The sequence below is a fragment of the Homo sapiens genome, chromosome 1 (assembly GCF_000001405.40).
Source record: "Homo sapiens chromosome 1, GRCh38.p14 Primary Assembly".
NCBI lineage: Eukaryota > Metazoa > Chordata > Mammalia > Primates > Hominidae > Homo > Homo sapiens.
In genome coordinates, this window is record NC_000001.11 from 52,966,972 (window position 1) to 52,982,445 (window position 15,474).

The 15,474-nt window shown below is 39.9% G+C and overlaps 1 protein-coding gene across 12 annotated transcripts in view, besides 2 other annotated features; it reads left to right on the forward strand.

Moving 5' to 3' along the window:
• Nucleotides 1-15,474, forward strand: part of SCP2 (sterol carrier protein 2) — a 124,423-nt gene that overhangs the window by 39,696 nt on the left and 69,253 nt on the right. For all 12 annotated transcript variants that reach the window (NM_002979.5, XM_005271103.5, NM_001193600.2 and 9 more), the window contains 4 exons: nt 7,798-7,861; nt 9,712-9,798; nt 11,246-11,396; nt 13,425-13,572. In NM_002979.5, the coding sequence (NP_002970.2) occupies nt 7,798-7,861; nt 9,712-9,798; nt 11,246-11,396; nt 13,425-13,572 (450 nt within the window). The remainder of the gene's footprint in view (nt 1-7,797; nt 7,862-9,711; nt 9,799-11,245; nt 11,397-13,424; nt 13,573-15,474) is intronic.
• Nucleotides 7,884-8,385: an enhancer, noted in NCBI's record as "H3K27ac hESC enhancer chr1:53440527-53441028 (GRCh37/hg19 assembly coordinates)". NCBI's record gives its function as "activates a minimal SCP1, AML or CMV promoter by ChIP-STARR-seq in primed H9 embryonic stem cells {active_cell/tissue: H9 hESC(primed)}" and the evidence as "EXISTENCE:reporter gene assay evidence [ECO:0000049][PMID:30033119]".
• Nucleotides 8,386-8,885: an enhancer, noted in NCBI's record as "H3K27ac hESC enhancer chr1:53441029-53441528 (GRCh37/hg19 assembly coordinates)". NCBI's record gives its function as "activates a minimal SCP1, AML or CMV promoter by ChIP-STARR-seq in primed H9 embryonic stem cells {active_cell/tissue: H9 hESC(primed)}" and the evidence as "EXISTENCE:reporter gene assay evidence [ECO:0000049][PMID:30033119]".

The following is a 15,474-nucleotide window of genomic DNA, read 5'->3' on the forward strand; positions in this document are numbered from 1 at the left end:
GAGGTCAGGAGTTCGAGATCAGCCTGGTCAGCATGGTGAAACCCTGTCTCTACTAAGAATACAAAAAAATTAGTCAGGCATGGTGGCAGGCGCCTGTAATCCCAGCTACTCAGGAGGCTGAGGCAGGAAAATCGGTTGAACCTGGGAGGTGGAGGTTGCAGTGAGCCGAGATTGTGCCACTGCACTCCACCCTGGGCAACAGACTGGGACTCCTCAATTAAAAAAAAAGAAATAGGAAGCTATTTTAATGCTCTGAAACAATTTATGGAACTTTGAAACCAACTGCTTTGTAGGTTTGGTAGAATTCCTTGTGAGATAATCTGGGCCTGGTTCTTTCTTTTTGGCTTGGTAATCTATTTTTTTTTTTTAATGTTTAAACATTCTATATCCAATGGGGCCAATTTTGGTAGTCTGTAGTTCTCCAGGAAATTATCCACGTCATTTAGATTTTCAAATCAATTTGTATAGAAGTCTGAAAAGTAGTATTTTAACAATGTAAATTTTTATTTCTATTTCAATGATATTCTCCTCTTGTCATTTGTTTATTTTGAGATGGAGTCTTGCTCTGTTGCCCAGGCTGGAGTGCAGTGGCACTATCTTGGCTCACTGCAACCTCCACTGTTGCTGTCAATTGCTATGGGATTGAACAAAGGGGGACAAATGCAGAAATGAAGAGAAAGACAAAAAGATCTGTTTTGAAAGAAGGGGTCAGGGGGCTCCTTGCTTCTAGTGAACAAGCACCCTGAGCTTTTACAGCCCTTCATATTTATTAGGTAGAAAGAGCAGGGAGGCAGAGGTAACTGTTGGTCCGCTGCTTGATTTATCACAGGTACACACAATTGCTTTCTTTGTACAACAGGTTTCCGATGTTCCTATAGATAATCACAAGGAACACTGTGCTTGGGGTGTGACTGCCCTCAGCACCCCTTCTGGCAGCAGATGCAGTTGTCAGTTTTCCAACATCCTGCTTTCATCCAGTTTCCTGTTTGCTCATATAGCCTCCAGTGGTATACTGAGTCAGTCACGACCCTCACTCTTTTGGCCTGTAACACTCTGCCTCCTGGGTTCAAGCAATTCTCCTGCCCCAGCCTCCTGAGTAACTGAGACTACAGGTGCGTGCCACCATGCCTGGCTAATTTTTTGTATTTTTAGTAGAGATGGCGTTTCTCCATGTTGGTCAGGCTGGTCTCTAACTCCTGACCTCAGGTGATCGGCCCGTCTTGGCCTCCCAAAGTGCCAGATTACAGGTGTTAGCCACCACGCCGGCCTCTCTTGTCATTTATTCTTTGTGTGCATTTATGGTTTCTCCCTTTTCCCTTGATGAAATTAGCTGGTAGTTTGTCTCTTTTGTTAAATTTTTCAAAATAACAGGATTTTGATTAATTATGTCTATTCTTTCTATTCTTTACCCTCATTCATTTCTTCATCTTCCTGGTACTTTCTTTTGGTTTACTTTATTCTTATTTTTAGTTTTTTGACTTGGAGAATTCAATATTTTATTTCTTGTTAATATAACAGCTTTATTGAGGTATAATTCTTATATCATATAATTTACTCTTTTAAAGTGTACAATTCAGTGATTTTTAATATATTCACAGAGTTGCATGACCATCACCATGATTAATTTCAGAACATTTCATTAACCAAAAATGAAACCCTGTACCCATTAGCAGTCCATTACCTCCTCTTCTAGTTCCTGGCAGCCACTCATCTACTTTGTTTTTCTTTGGATTTGCCTATTCTGGACATTTTATATAAATGTACAGTTGGCCCTTGAACAACAGGGGGTTTAGTGGTACTGACCTGCACAGTCAGAAATTCATGTATAACTTTTGATTCCCCCCGAATTTAACTAATAGCCTGCTCTTGACCAGAAGCCTTAGTGGTAACATAAAAAATTGATTTACACATATTTTTTATGTTACATATATTATACACTATGCTCATAATAAAGTAAGCTAGACAAAAGAAAATGTTATTAAAATCATAAGGAAGAGAAAATATAGTTACTATTCATTAAGTGGAAGGTGATCATCTTAAAGATCTTCATCCTTGTTGCTCTTCTTCTTCATCATTTTCTTGTTGAGTAGGCTGAGGAGGAAGGGGAAGGTTGGTCTTGCTGTCCCAGGTGGCAGAGACAGAAGAGGTGGAAGAGGAGGCAGAAGAGGCAGGCATACTTGATGTAACTGTCATTGAAAAAAGTCCCCTTATAGTGGACCCATGCAGCTTAAACCTGTGTTGTTCAAGAGTCAAATATAATCAATATGTGGCCTTTCTGGATATGGTGATACACACCTGTAATCCCAGCACTTTGGGAGGCTGAGGCAGGTAGATCGCTTGAGCCCAGGAGTTCAAGACCAGCCTGGGCAACATGATGAAACCACAAAAGTTAGCTGGTGTGGTGGCACATGCCTATAGTCTCAGCTACTTGGGAAGCTGAAGTGGGAGGACTGCTTGAGCCTGGAAGGAGGAGGCTGCAGTAAGCCAAGGTCGCACCTCTGCATTCCAGCCTGGTTGACAGAGTGTGACCCTGTTTTTGTTTGTTTGTTTGTTTGTTTTTTCTAAAAAGGCCAGGCACAGTGACTCACACCTGTAATCCCAGCACTTTGGGAGGCTGAGGTTGGGGGATCCCCTGAGGTCTGGAGTTCAAGACCAGCCTGGCCAACATGGTGAAACCCCATCTCTACTAAAATACAAAAATTAGCCGGGCGTGGTCGCGTGTGCCTGTAATCCCAGCAACTGGGGAGGCTGAGGCAGGAGAACTGCTTGAGCCTGGGAGGTGGAGGTTGCAGTGAGCTGAGATTGCACCTCTGCACTCCAGCCCGGGCGGCAGAGCTAGACTCCATCTCAAACAAACAAACAAACAAACAAACAAAAAAAGTGGCCTTTTGTGACTGGCTTCTTTAAGTTAGTATATTTTCACTGTTCATTCATGTCATAGCATGTATTAGGACCTCATTCCTTTTTACTGCTTAATAATATTCCTTATGTCATTCATTTATTCTTATTAATAAATGGTTAGTGGTATATATTTTCCTGATTACTGTGTTAAATGTATCACATTGATTCTGATATGTAGTATTTTCATTATCATTATTTTCTGACAAGTTCTATAATTTCCATTTCTATTTTCATTTTTTACCCAAGAATTATTTCATGGAAATATTTTTTAAATTTCCAGGTGGACTTTTAATTTTATTAGTAATTTCTAGTTTTATTGCCTGGTGATTTGAGTGTGTTGTTTGTAGACTGAGGGGATTCTTAGTTCTATGGTGCCCTCTTCTGTAAGTGTAGTAGAATGGGGTCTTGCAATACTACCCAGGCTGACTCTTTTTAGGTGCAATCATGGTGCACCACAGCCACAAACCCCTGGGCTCAGGCAATACTCCTGTCTCAGCGTCCTGAGTCGCTGGGACTACAGGTGTACCTTGTCCTCTTTTGCTGCTTTTCTCCTTCACCGCTCAATTGCACCATACAAATGTCCTCTTACATACAAATGTCCTCTTATGCTGCTTTTCTCCTTCACTACTCAATTGCACCAAAAGGGACCTTGCCCTTTCATTTTGCTTTTTTTTTTCCTCTCAGAACTTATACCTTTAAGATTCCCACCTCAGATCTCCTGTGTTTTTCAGCCCATTCCATATAGTCATGGTTTGATCTATAGGAATATTTTCTTGGTATTTTCACACTTGGGGAGGAGGTCTTTCTTTTCTTGGTAGTTTAGAGCAGTTGTTGGCCTGCGATTATCTCCCCTCTTCTCTGCACAGTTTCCTCAGCCTGCCCATGTACCCTTAAAGGTTTGTGTAGAAACGTGAGCAGTTGTTGGCTGGGATTTGGTCTTATATATTTTTTCTTTTCTTTTTCTTTTTTTTTTAACTTATAGATAATTTGAAATTTGGCATTTTCTATTTTCTAGTTATGCTGAGAGTATGATTTGTGCTATTTTATTTTTTCTGGTTATTCTGTATTGGTTTTAGAGGCTATAGAGAGACACAGATTTTTTTTTTTTTTTTTTTTTTTTTGAGACAGAGTCTCAGTCTGTTGCCCAGGCTGGAGTGCAGTGGCGCAATCTCAGCTCACTGCAAGCTCTGCCTCCCGGGTTCACGCCATTCTCCCGCCTCAGCCTCCCGAGTAGCTGGGACTACAGATGCCCGCCACCACGCCTGGCTAATTTTTCTGTATTTTTAGTAGAGACGGGGTTTCACCGTGTTAGCCAGGATGGTCTCGATATCCCGACCTCGTGATCCACCCGCCTCGGCCTCCCAAAGTGCTGGGATTACAGGCGTGAGCCACCGCTCCCGGCCGAGAGACACAGATTTACGTGGCCTCCATTTTTCCTCAATTACCTGGAAATCCTGTTACTGATGTGTTTTTAAGTGTATATATTTTCTCAAGTTTTACATTGCTCAGAATAATTGGACAGTTTTCTAGTCTAAAATTTGAAATATAAATGTACACTATTTTAGTGGAAATGTCATTGTAGGGAACAAGGGCCTTGACCCTCTGAAGGTTCACTGAAAATCACTTACATGAGGCAGATTAACAGGAGAAAAGGCATACAAATTTATTTAACGTGTGTACACGGGAACATTCAGAATGAAGACTCAAAAAAATGGGAAATTGTCCATTTTTATGCTTAGGTTCAACAAAGTATGGAACAGCCCTATAGAAATATGATTGGACAAAAAGCATATGATCTAATGCTAATAGACTGAGTGGAGAAACCCAGCCAGGCCTGTCCATCTAGGTTCTTCTTGGCCTCTTTGAGCACACATTCCTTCCTTCTGGGCGTGGGGCAGGTCCCTTTCTGGAATGGGGGTCTTATGACCCACAGTCAAACAAGATAGGTCAGATAGTTTGTTTATGACCAGTTTTTACACAGAAAGGTGGAGGAAGTTAAAGTAATATTTCTAGGTTTTATGACTGGCTTTGGGGAAAAGGAGTTCTGGTTTCTATGACCTGCCTTGGGGAAGAGGGATTCTAGTTTCTATGGTTAGCCTCAGGAGAGAATGGGCCTGAGAGACAGGAGGGTAGGAGAAGGTCAGTGAAAAACTTTTGCTTCTGAGGCTATCATTTGGGGGTATTGTTTCTTTATTCTTCATTCGACAGATTTCTAAATGAATTGTAGAATTTTATATAATTTAAATTGTTATTTAAAATTGCTGTTTGTGAGTGTTCTGAATGTGCACTAGAAATGAATATGTAAGAAAGCTTATAGTAGTTTAAATCATTTGTAGAACCAGCCGAGTTTGTGGTTTCATAATTAAATTATAGGATATTAAAATAGTTTGACATAAAGGCATAGCCTTTGAATAGTCAAAAATCTTAATTGGCAATTCAGAATCAGTAGTCAATAAGCCCTTCATCAGTGGCCAGGCTTAATAAATATGTAAGTGACTGGCAGAATATTTTTCAAGGGGATGCTGTCTTTTATTGATTAATCAGATCCTATGTTACGAAAAAAGGAAGAAAAGATACGAACATTATTGAACATCTCTTATGTCAGACACCATGCCAAGTACTTTACTGTTTTAGCCACCCTTCTTCCTACCAATCTATGCATGGATTGCTTGCAAATCTAATAGAGACAATAAAGCATGTGTACTTCCTAAAACAAGGAATTTGTCACCAACTGAGGCCACCAATCCCAATTTTTAGGAGATTCCAATTGTTACAATTCCCTTTTTCATGTTGAACCCAAATCTCTCACCCTATGGTTTGCATCCATGGTCTTGTTTTTGTCTTCTGAGAATGACAGAAAAAGCCTATTTTACCTTGTAGCCCTTCAAATATCTGAAGCCAGCCTGACCCTATATTTAATTTCTTCTCTTAACTACTCTCATTAGACTTGTTTCATAACCCATAAGCAGTCTAATTGCTGTACTGTGATCCCATGTAAGCTATTCTGCTAGTCACATCACACTATGAAATCTCACTGAGCTTGAGGTTTCTCATAGTTGTTGCTCATTTTTGCAGGTTGTTGTGGGAGTTCAAGAATAGAACTGAGTGTTTAATTTATATTCTGATCCATCCTATTGATAGACCTTGTTGAAATTCAACATTATAGCAGTCCCTTCCAGCTTTAGGTTTGGTGAGAGAGCCTCTAGTTTTCTTACTCACTTTGTAATAGAAATATTAACAAGACCAGAGCTGAGGTTAGAAGTTAGTGCTAGAAACTTTTCTCTAGGTCAATGCATTAATTAATGCCTGTTGTTTCACATGAGTGTAATATTGGGAAATGCTTCATACTTTAATCCTCTTCTAGATGGTCATAATGCACATAGTGCAATAGTAAAGGCTCCAAATGTCTTACAGTAAAGACGTGTTTAGCTTTGTTTAACCATAGTCTAAACTTATTTGACAGAAGAACCCTCTTTTTTTTTTTTTGGTAACACCAAAAGATAAAAATGAAAATAACCCCCCAAAATCCCACACTACGATATTTCCTTATCTTGTCCAAAATGTTTTGAGAAATTTCGTTAATTTTCTTGCTGCTGTCCAGATACTATGTTTTCTTTGATCTAACAGTCAATTCAGTCACGAAAAGATAACACATAATTTGACTTGTCTTATTCTTATTGAACCCATATTGGCCTCCTCCTGATCACTATTCTTTTTTTGAGATGGAGTCTCACGCTGTCACCTAGGCTGGAGTGCAATGGCACAATCTCGGCTCACTGCAATCTCCGTCTTCCGGGTTCAAGTGATTCTCCTGCCTCAGCCTCCCAAGTAGCTGAGATGACAGGTGTATGCCACTATACCTAGCTAATTTTTGTGTTTTTACTACGCCTGGCTAATTTTTGTAGTTTTACTAGAGACAGAGTCTCACCATGTTGACTAGTCTGGTCTTGAACTCCTGACCTCAAATGATCCACCCACCTTGGCTTCCCAAAATGCTGGGGTTACAGGCATGAGCCATCGCGCTTGGCCCTGATCACTATTTTTATTGTTAGAAGATCACAAGTGTGGAATTTATCTTCTCTTTTTATTAGAATTGAGATAAGATTTGCTTAATTATATGTATGTCATTTTTGCTCTGAAGATCATCCTCCTTGATAGAGAAGAGAGAGATAAAACAGACATGGGGAACTTTGTACTTTACTGTGCCATTAATATAACATTATCAGCTCTAATTGGTGGCTTTCTTTTTTCTTTGGCCTTTACAGCACCAAATGAGAATTCAAAGCATATTTTATTCAGTTTTATCTTTTTAAAAGTAGTAAAAAAAAATTTTTTTTGCGTGTTTTACCTCATTACTGTACTTTTTTTTGTTTTCCTGACACGATTATTTAAATTTTCTGTTAAGGAATTTAAAAGGCATACATATTTCTTATCAGGATATAACTCTTCTAAAAACTTTTCTGTTTTATCATAAGGAAAGGGAGGAAGATGAAATATCTTATCATGCCCTGGAGGGTGTGAGTTGTGTAAAATTCTCTCAGTCTAGCGTACTGGGGTGTTTGACAGACTCCTAGAGGAATTGTAGTGTTCTCCTGCCTTAAAACCACCATGTTTCTTGTTTTTGAAACTGGGTTCTACTTATTTTAATTAGAATAGATCAGTTTGAACTGTTTTTATCTTATGTGCCTATTAGTTGATTCAGTTCGTTAATTAGGCCCACATTTAATTATAAATAAAAATTTTTTGAGGGAACAGTGCTGAAGTCTTTAATACTGATGATATATATGAAAGGGAAAATATGGAGATATTTAGCAGAACACTGAGTACCATTGCAAGATTTGTTAATAAGCAGCGGAAAAACATTCACCCACTGGTAGATGTTTGCTTTCTTTACAGGAACAAAAATTGAACACTTTGCAAAAATTGGATGGAAAAATCATAAACATTCAGTTAATAACCCGTAAGTATTTCAGAGACATGAAATAATGAAAATCTGGGTTATCCTACTGTATAATATGCAACTTTATACTTGAAAAGCAAATGCCAAGATCTCAAATATTTTAACTAGAATGTTTTATTTTTTTCTTACAAAAGGCTTATACGCAAGTAAACTTTTGACAACTTTTCAGTTCCAGTTTTTGGCCACTTTATATTTAGAATATCATTTAGGCTAATGACCCTTTTTCTTTTTTTTGAGACAGAGCCTCGCTGTGTCATCCAGGCTGGAGTGCAGTGGCGTGATCTCGGCTGCCTGCAACCTCTACCTCCCTAGTAGCTGGGACTACAGGAGCCACCATGCCCGGCTAATTATTATTATTATTTTTTTTAGATGGCATCTCACTCTGTCACCCAGGCTGGAATGCAGTGGCATGATCTCGGCTCACTGCAACCTCTGTGCCCTGGGTTCAAGCGATTCTCCTGCCTCAGCCTCCCGAGTAGCTGGGATTACAGGCACCTGCCACAGCACCTGGCTAATTTTTGTATTTTTAGTAGAGACAGGGTTTCACCATCTTGGCCAGGCTGGTCTTGAACTTTGACCTCGTGATCCACCTGCCTCTGCCTCCCAAAGTGCTGGGATTACAGGTGTGAGCCACCGCACCCAGCCTGTATTTTTAGTTGAGACGAGCTTTTGCCATGTTGGCCAGGCTGGTCTTGAACTCCTGACCTCAGGTGATCTGCCTGCCTTGGCCTCCCAAAGTGCTGGGGTTACAGGTGTGAGCCACCATGCCTGGCTAATTGTACATTTATTTAAAAGCTCCATTAGCCTTAATTAATGTACTTGTATAATATTATCGGCTCAAAAGTTGGCTGAATTGCAGGTGATTTGATTTTGCTTTTAAGGAACTAGTATTCTTTAATTTGCCAGGAAACATAAATATGGTATTCTGTTTTAATCCCCAACTGGTCTAACACCAACTGGGTATATTGCAACTCAATTCTGGCATGAAGCGCCTAGGAGTTAATGCAAACTCCATGAATTAAGGACCCAGTCCTCCACAAGACTGCTCATACGTCAGACATTAGCTGCAAGTGGGATGCCCATGCCACCCATATTTTGACCAACTGACCACAAATCCAGGGGCTCCCATGACTCCCTCAGATTCAATAATTCACTAGAACAACTTACAGAACTCAGGAAAGTACTTAAAATTACAGTTTTATTATAAAGGATATAAATCAGAAACAGTCAAATGAAGAGGCATATAGAGTGAGGTCTGGGAGCATCCCAAGCAAAGCTTTCTTGCCTTTTCCCTATGGAGTCAGGGCATGTCATCCTCCGGATACATCAAGACGTTCACCAATCAGGAAGCCCCGCTGAACACCATGTCCAGATTTTTTACTGGGGCTTCATTATGTCAGCATGCTAGATTAAATCACTGGCCACATAACTGAACTCAATCTCCAGCCTTCCTCTTCTTCTCAGAGGTTGAGCTGGCTCAAAAGTCTCAACTCTGTAGTCACATGGTTGGTCTTTTGGTGGTCAGTCTCCCATTTTCAAGATAACAAGGCCCACCATAAGTGACCTCATTAGCATAACAAAGACACTTCTATCATTCAGGAAATTCCAAGGGCTTTGGAAGCTCCAAGCCAGGAACCCAGGACAAAGACCAAATTTTAAAAAATAAAACATACTGTATTTTAGAGTTAGGATTTTTTAAAAGGTCAATTCAGATGACATTTATGGCTATTCATAAAAATCTGTCTTCTGGTTGTGAAAATAATATTTACATATTATTCTGTTTCTTACTCTGCAACAAAAATTACAGTTGCTATCTCACATTCTGTAACTAATATTTATTTTGTATTTAGGTATTCCCAGTTCCAAGATGAATACAGTTTAGATGAAGTGATGGCATCTAAAGAAGTTTTTGATTTTTTGACTATCTTACAATGTTGGTAAGAAAAATATATTTTAACATTTAATGAGGGAAGTAACTGCTGCCCTTCCTGCCACCCCCCTGTGGTTAAACCTTAGGCTCTGCATCTGGGCGGAGCTTTCACAGAACTCCTCCCAGTGCCGTCCCCACTCTGGGTCACTTCACTAGAGTACCCTACTTCTTACTCCTGCCTGGAGACAGACTGTCTCTTCTCTTGGAAAATGATGTGTTTTACTTCTTCTTGCAGGACTTCTACCTACTTTGGTGATTGCAATTGTATTTATTCATTAAACTGTGGCTTGGGGGCCAGTGGAGCCCAAAGCATTTTGTTTTCCCTGCTATGTACTTCTACTACAGGAAATTCTACTCTATAATAGTAGCTATGAGTAAAAGTAAAACAAGGAAAAATTCATAGCTCTAATGATGATAACAGTTGTTTCTTGCAAAGTGCTTGACAGTATCTGTCTCCTAGAAAATTGAGTGAGTACTGCTTAGCTCCTGCCTGTGTCCTAGTTAACACCTGGCTGTGCCCTGTAGATACAGGCTGGGATGGAAAGAAATAAGTCGGGTCAGCTTTTATTTGTTGTGATATGAGGGTCTGCCCATTTAGAAAGTCTAACTGAACTCCCAGAAGACTTCTTGTGTTTGCTACCTTCCATCACAGTTTGCTGTAAGAAAAAGATCTGTTTAAGATCTCGAGAGTCTTAACTAAAGCAGATGGTTTTGTATTCCCAAGCTATCTTTTCCCAGTTTCCAAAAGGATTTCAGGACTGAGTTATTTGGAGATAGCAAAGTTGGAGCTGGGGCGGTCTGTAGTAGAATCTTTATTGTATTAGGATAGGAATAACCTTTTGGACTTACTCCTCAGAAGATGCCTTATGCATCTCCAGAGGCAAATTGGTAATTCTTTGCAATAAGAACTTTTTGGGGCTGGGCGTGGTAGCTCACGCCTGTAATCCCAGCACATTGGAAGGCCGAGGCGGGCGGATCACCTGAGGTTGGGAGTTCGAGACCAACCTGACCAACATGGAGAAACTCCGTCTCTACTAAAAATACAAAATTAGCCAGGCGTGGTAGCGCATGCCTGTAATCTCAGCTACTCAGGAGGCTGAGGCAGAAGAATCACTTGAACCGGGGAGGAGGAGGTTGCAGTTGCAATGAGCCAAGATAACACCATTATACTCCAGCCTAGGCAACAAGAGCGAAACTCCATCTCAAAAAAAAAAAAAAGAACTTTTTGGGACTCTTAGATTCCAAGTAGTGATTGACAACATTTAAGTTCTTGATAGAGGTTCAGTCCTCAGGTGGGAAGCATGTGTGATTTACAACTGTAGATATCACAAAGAAGACAATCCACTGACCAGCAAGCATATTTGGCCTTTCCTTTCACATAGAAGTAACTCCTAGTCTGAAATCCTCCGATCAGGTGCTACTGGGTGTGGAGAATTATTTTTACTTCCTCTTAGTCCCACTTCAGATGGTGCTGCAGCAGCAATTTTGGCCAGTGAAGCATTTGTACAGAAGTATGGCCTGCAATCCAAAGCTGTGGAAATTTTGGCACAAGAAATGATGACTGATTTGCCAAGCTCGTTTGAAGAAAAAAGCATTATTAAAATGGTATGTCTGAGATTCTATTTGTTATTTTTATTTTTAAGATGGAGTCTCATGATTCTTGTGATGGAGCCATGCATTATTATATAATAACTTTTAATTAACTAGACATGCTATTTGTCATTATTTTAAGTTGACTATGCCTAGAACTCCAATCTTACAGAGTTAAGGGAAAAATGATTGTTTTGTTTTGTTGTTCTTTCTTTTCTTTTCTTTCTTTCAACAGGGTCTTACTCTGTCACTCAGGCTGCAGTGCAGTAGTGCGATCTCAGCTTACTATAGCTTCCACATCCCAGGCTCAATCAATCCTCCCACTTCAGCCTCCCAAGTGGCTGGGACTACAGGCACATGCCACGACTGCCGGCTAATGTTTGTATTTTTTGTAGAGACACAGTTTTGCCATGTTTCCCAGGCTGGTCTTGAATTCCTGGCTCAAGTGATCCACCTGCCTCAGCCTTCCAAAATGCTGGGATTACAGGCGTGAATCACCACACACTGCCACAAAGATGATTTTAATGAACTTTCTTGACCCTCAGCACTTTAAAAATTCTGAATAAAGATTGAGTACAAAATGGAAAAAGTAAAAAAGATGAAAATTCAGACCTAGAGTTAGTTGAATATTTGAAGACATACACACAATACACAAAATTGCATGCTAAATTATAGTTTACAAATGATTTTACAACAACACTGTGAACTGGAAAATGTTTTTGTAACTGCCCAAGATCACAGTTAGGTTGTGGCAGAGGTGGAATTTATATTTAGGTTTCCTGGTTATAGTACATTTTTCATTATACCACAGTTTTATTTCTTTTTCTTTTTCTCTTTGAGACAGGATCTTGCTTTGTTGCCCAGGCTGGAGCGTGGTGGTGCGATCATAGCTCACTGCAACCTCTGCCTCCTAGTCTCAAGCAATCCTCCCACTTCAGCCTCTCGAGAAAGTGGGACTACAGGCATGTGCCACCACATCTGGCTAAGTTTTTGTATTTTTTTTTTTTTTGTAAAGACACGATTTTGCCATGTTACCCAGGCTGGTCTTGAACTCCTGGACTCAAGCGATTCACCTGCCTCGGCCTCCCAAAGTGCCAAAGTGCTGGGATTACAGGCATGAGCCACCACGCCTGGCCTCACCGTTTTATTCCTTGAAGAAAAGTTATTTTATTATTTGAGGAGAAAAACATGTTAAGAACATGGACTTTGGAAAAATGGTTTGAATCCTAGATGATCTTCTAAAAGAAGATTGTGTCATTTTATATAGAAATTCTCCCATATTTTTCAGTGTATCTGACTCATAATGATCTGGTAATAAATGTCTTCAACTTGTTTATCACAACTATACATTGTAGTTTGACAGAAGTTTTGTAACTTAGCACAAGATATGCTCTGAGGAATTCTAGGTCCTTTTTATATATTTTATTTAAAAATTCTGTCATTTTTTAGTACAAAATTGAATATGTACATCCTTCTCCTAGATGTTATTTTATTTAGACTTTCTGTGTAATATAGAATCAATTGACTGACCCTCCTTCCCTCCCTCCCTCCCTTCCTTCCTCCCTTTCTTTCCCTTTCCCTTTCCTCTCTTTCTTTCTTTTCTTCTTTTCTTCTTCTCTTCTTTTTTTGTTTCTTTTTTGAGACAGGATCTTGCTCTTTCATCCAGGCTGGAATTCAGTGGGGTGATCCTGGTTCCCTGCAGCCTTGACCTCCTGTGCTCAAACGATCCTCCCAGCTCAGCCTCCCAAGTATCTGGGACCACAGGCACATACTACCACGCCAGGCTAATTTTTAAATTATTTGTAGAGACAGGATCTTCCATTGTTGCCCAGGCTGGTCTCAAACTCCTGGGCTCAAGCGATCCTCCTGCCTCAGCTTCCCAAAGTGCTTGGATTATAGGCATGAGCCAATGCACCTGGGCAAAAATTTAATATATGTGGTCAATTATCAGTTGTTAAGGTTATGCATCTATTAATCTCTTAAAATACTTGTTTAAAAGGCCCAGTTTTGGTGCCCTTTATTTATATATGGTTTTGGTTTTAGGTTGGCTTTGATATGAGTAAAGAAGCTGCAAGAAAATGCTATGAGAAATCTGGCCTGACACCAAATGATATTGACGTAATAGAACTTCACGATTGCTTTTCTACCAACGAACTCCTTACTTATGAAGCACTGGGACTCTGTCCAGAAGGTAACATCTTTGAATAGGGCAGATTAATTCAGTAAATTTCACTGAGAAAACTTCACTTTGACCGTTAGATAAAAGAATTCACTATTCACTTTTCCCTTAACGTTGGCTCTGCCACACTGTGGGAAATGAATGTAAGCTGTTTTGGTAGTGGACGTTTTAGAACTTGTGGTATTAGGCAGTACCAACACTAAGATGATGGAGTGTCCAGATAATTTGTATTATGATTATATTATTTGTCTGGAAGGCTCTTTTATCTGACCAAAATAGCTACTCCATCTTTCTTATGCTTATTCTTTGCATGAGATTTTATTCATTTGCTTTCAACCTATTTATGTTAATTTATTTAAAGTGTATCTCTTATAGGCAGCATGTAAGCAATAATTTTTTTTTGTTTTTTCGTTTTTCTGAGACGGAGACTCTCTCTGTAGCCCAGGCTGGAGTGCAGTGGTGCAATCTCAGCTCAATGCAACCTCCACCTCCTGGGTTCAAGTGATTCTCCTGCCTCAGCCTCCTGTGTAGCCGGGATTACAGGCACCTGCCAACACGCCCGGCTAATTTTTGTATTTTTAGTAGAGACAGGGTTTCACCATGTTGGCCAGGCTCATCTCAAACTCCTGACCTCAGGTGATCCACCCACCTAGGCTTCCTAAAGTGCTGGAATTATAGGCGTGAGCCACTGCGCCCAGCCGTGATAATGTATTTTTTAAAATCTACTTTGTTGATTTCTGCCTTTTAACTGGAGTGTCGAAACCTGTGCTGATAATGACAGCCACTAGCTATACTTTAGTCTTTGAAATGTAGCTAGTCCAAATTGACGTGTGCTGTAAGTGTGAAGTACACATGGAGTTTTGGAGACTTAATATTGAAAAATAGAATGTAAAGTATTTCATTAATAATTTTTTTTTTTTTTTGAGACAGAGTCTCGCTTTGTCACCCAGGCTGGAGTGCAATGGTGTGATCTCGGCTCATTGCAACTTCTGCCTCCTGGGTTCAAGCAGTTCTTGTGCCTCAGCCTCCCGAGTATTACAGGTGTGCATGCTACCATGCCCAGCTAATTTTTGTAATTTTAGTAGAGACAGGGTTTCACCATGTTGCGCGGGCTGTTCTCAAACTCCTGGCTTCAAGTGATCCACCCGCCTCAGCCTCCCAAAGTGCTGGGGTTGCAAGCATGAGCCACCTGGCTCACTGATAATTTTTTTATGTTGATTACATGTTGAATGAAAATATTTTATATATATATAAAATGTATATATTAAATAAAATATATACTAGAAAATTTAAAAGTATTGTGTGGGCATTATATTTCTGTTAGACAATATTTATTTAGATAATTAATGTAATTATTGATACAGTAGGATTTAGGTTGGTCATTTAATTATCTGTTTTCTATTTGTCCCCTGTAATTTTTGTTCCTCTGTGCCCCTCCTCTTGACTTCTTTTGCATTATTTAAATATTTTTAGTATGCCATTTCAACTTATCGATTGTTTTTTTCACCATATCTCTTTGTTTTTTCTTCTTTGTTTATCCCAGTGGTTGCTATAGAGCATGGTTTATCAACCTTGGCACTATTGACATTTGAGCTCTATCATTCTTGTGATACAGCTTGTGCATGGTAGGATATTCAGCAATATCCCTGCCTCTTACCTACTAAATGCCAGTAGCACCACCCCCCACAGTTGTAACAACCATAAAATGTCTTCAAATATTGTCAAATGTCTTCTGGGGGGTAAAATCTCTCCCAGTTGGCAGGGCGCGGTGGCTCAGGCCTATAATCCCAGCACTTTGGGAGGCCAAGGCGGGCAGATAACGAGGTCAGGAGATCGAGACCATCCTGGCTAACACGGTGAAACCCCCTCTCTACTAAAAATACAAAAAATTAGCCGGGCATGGTGTTGGGCACC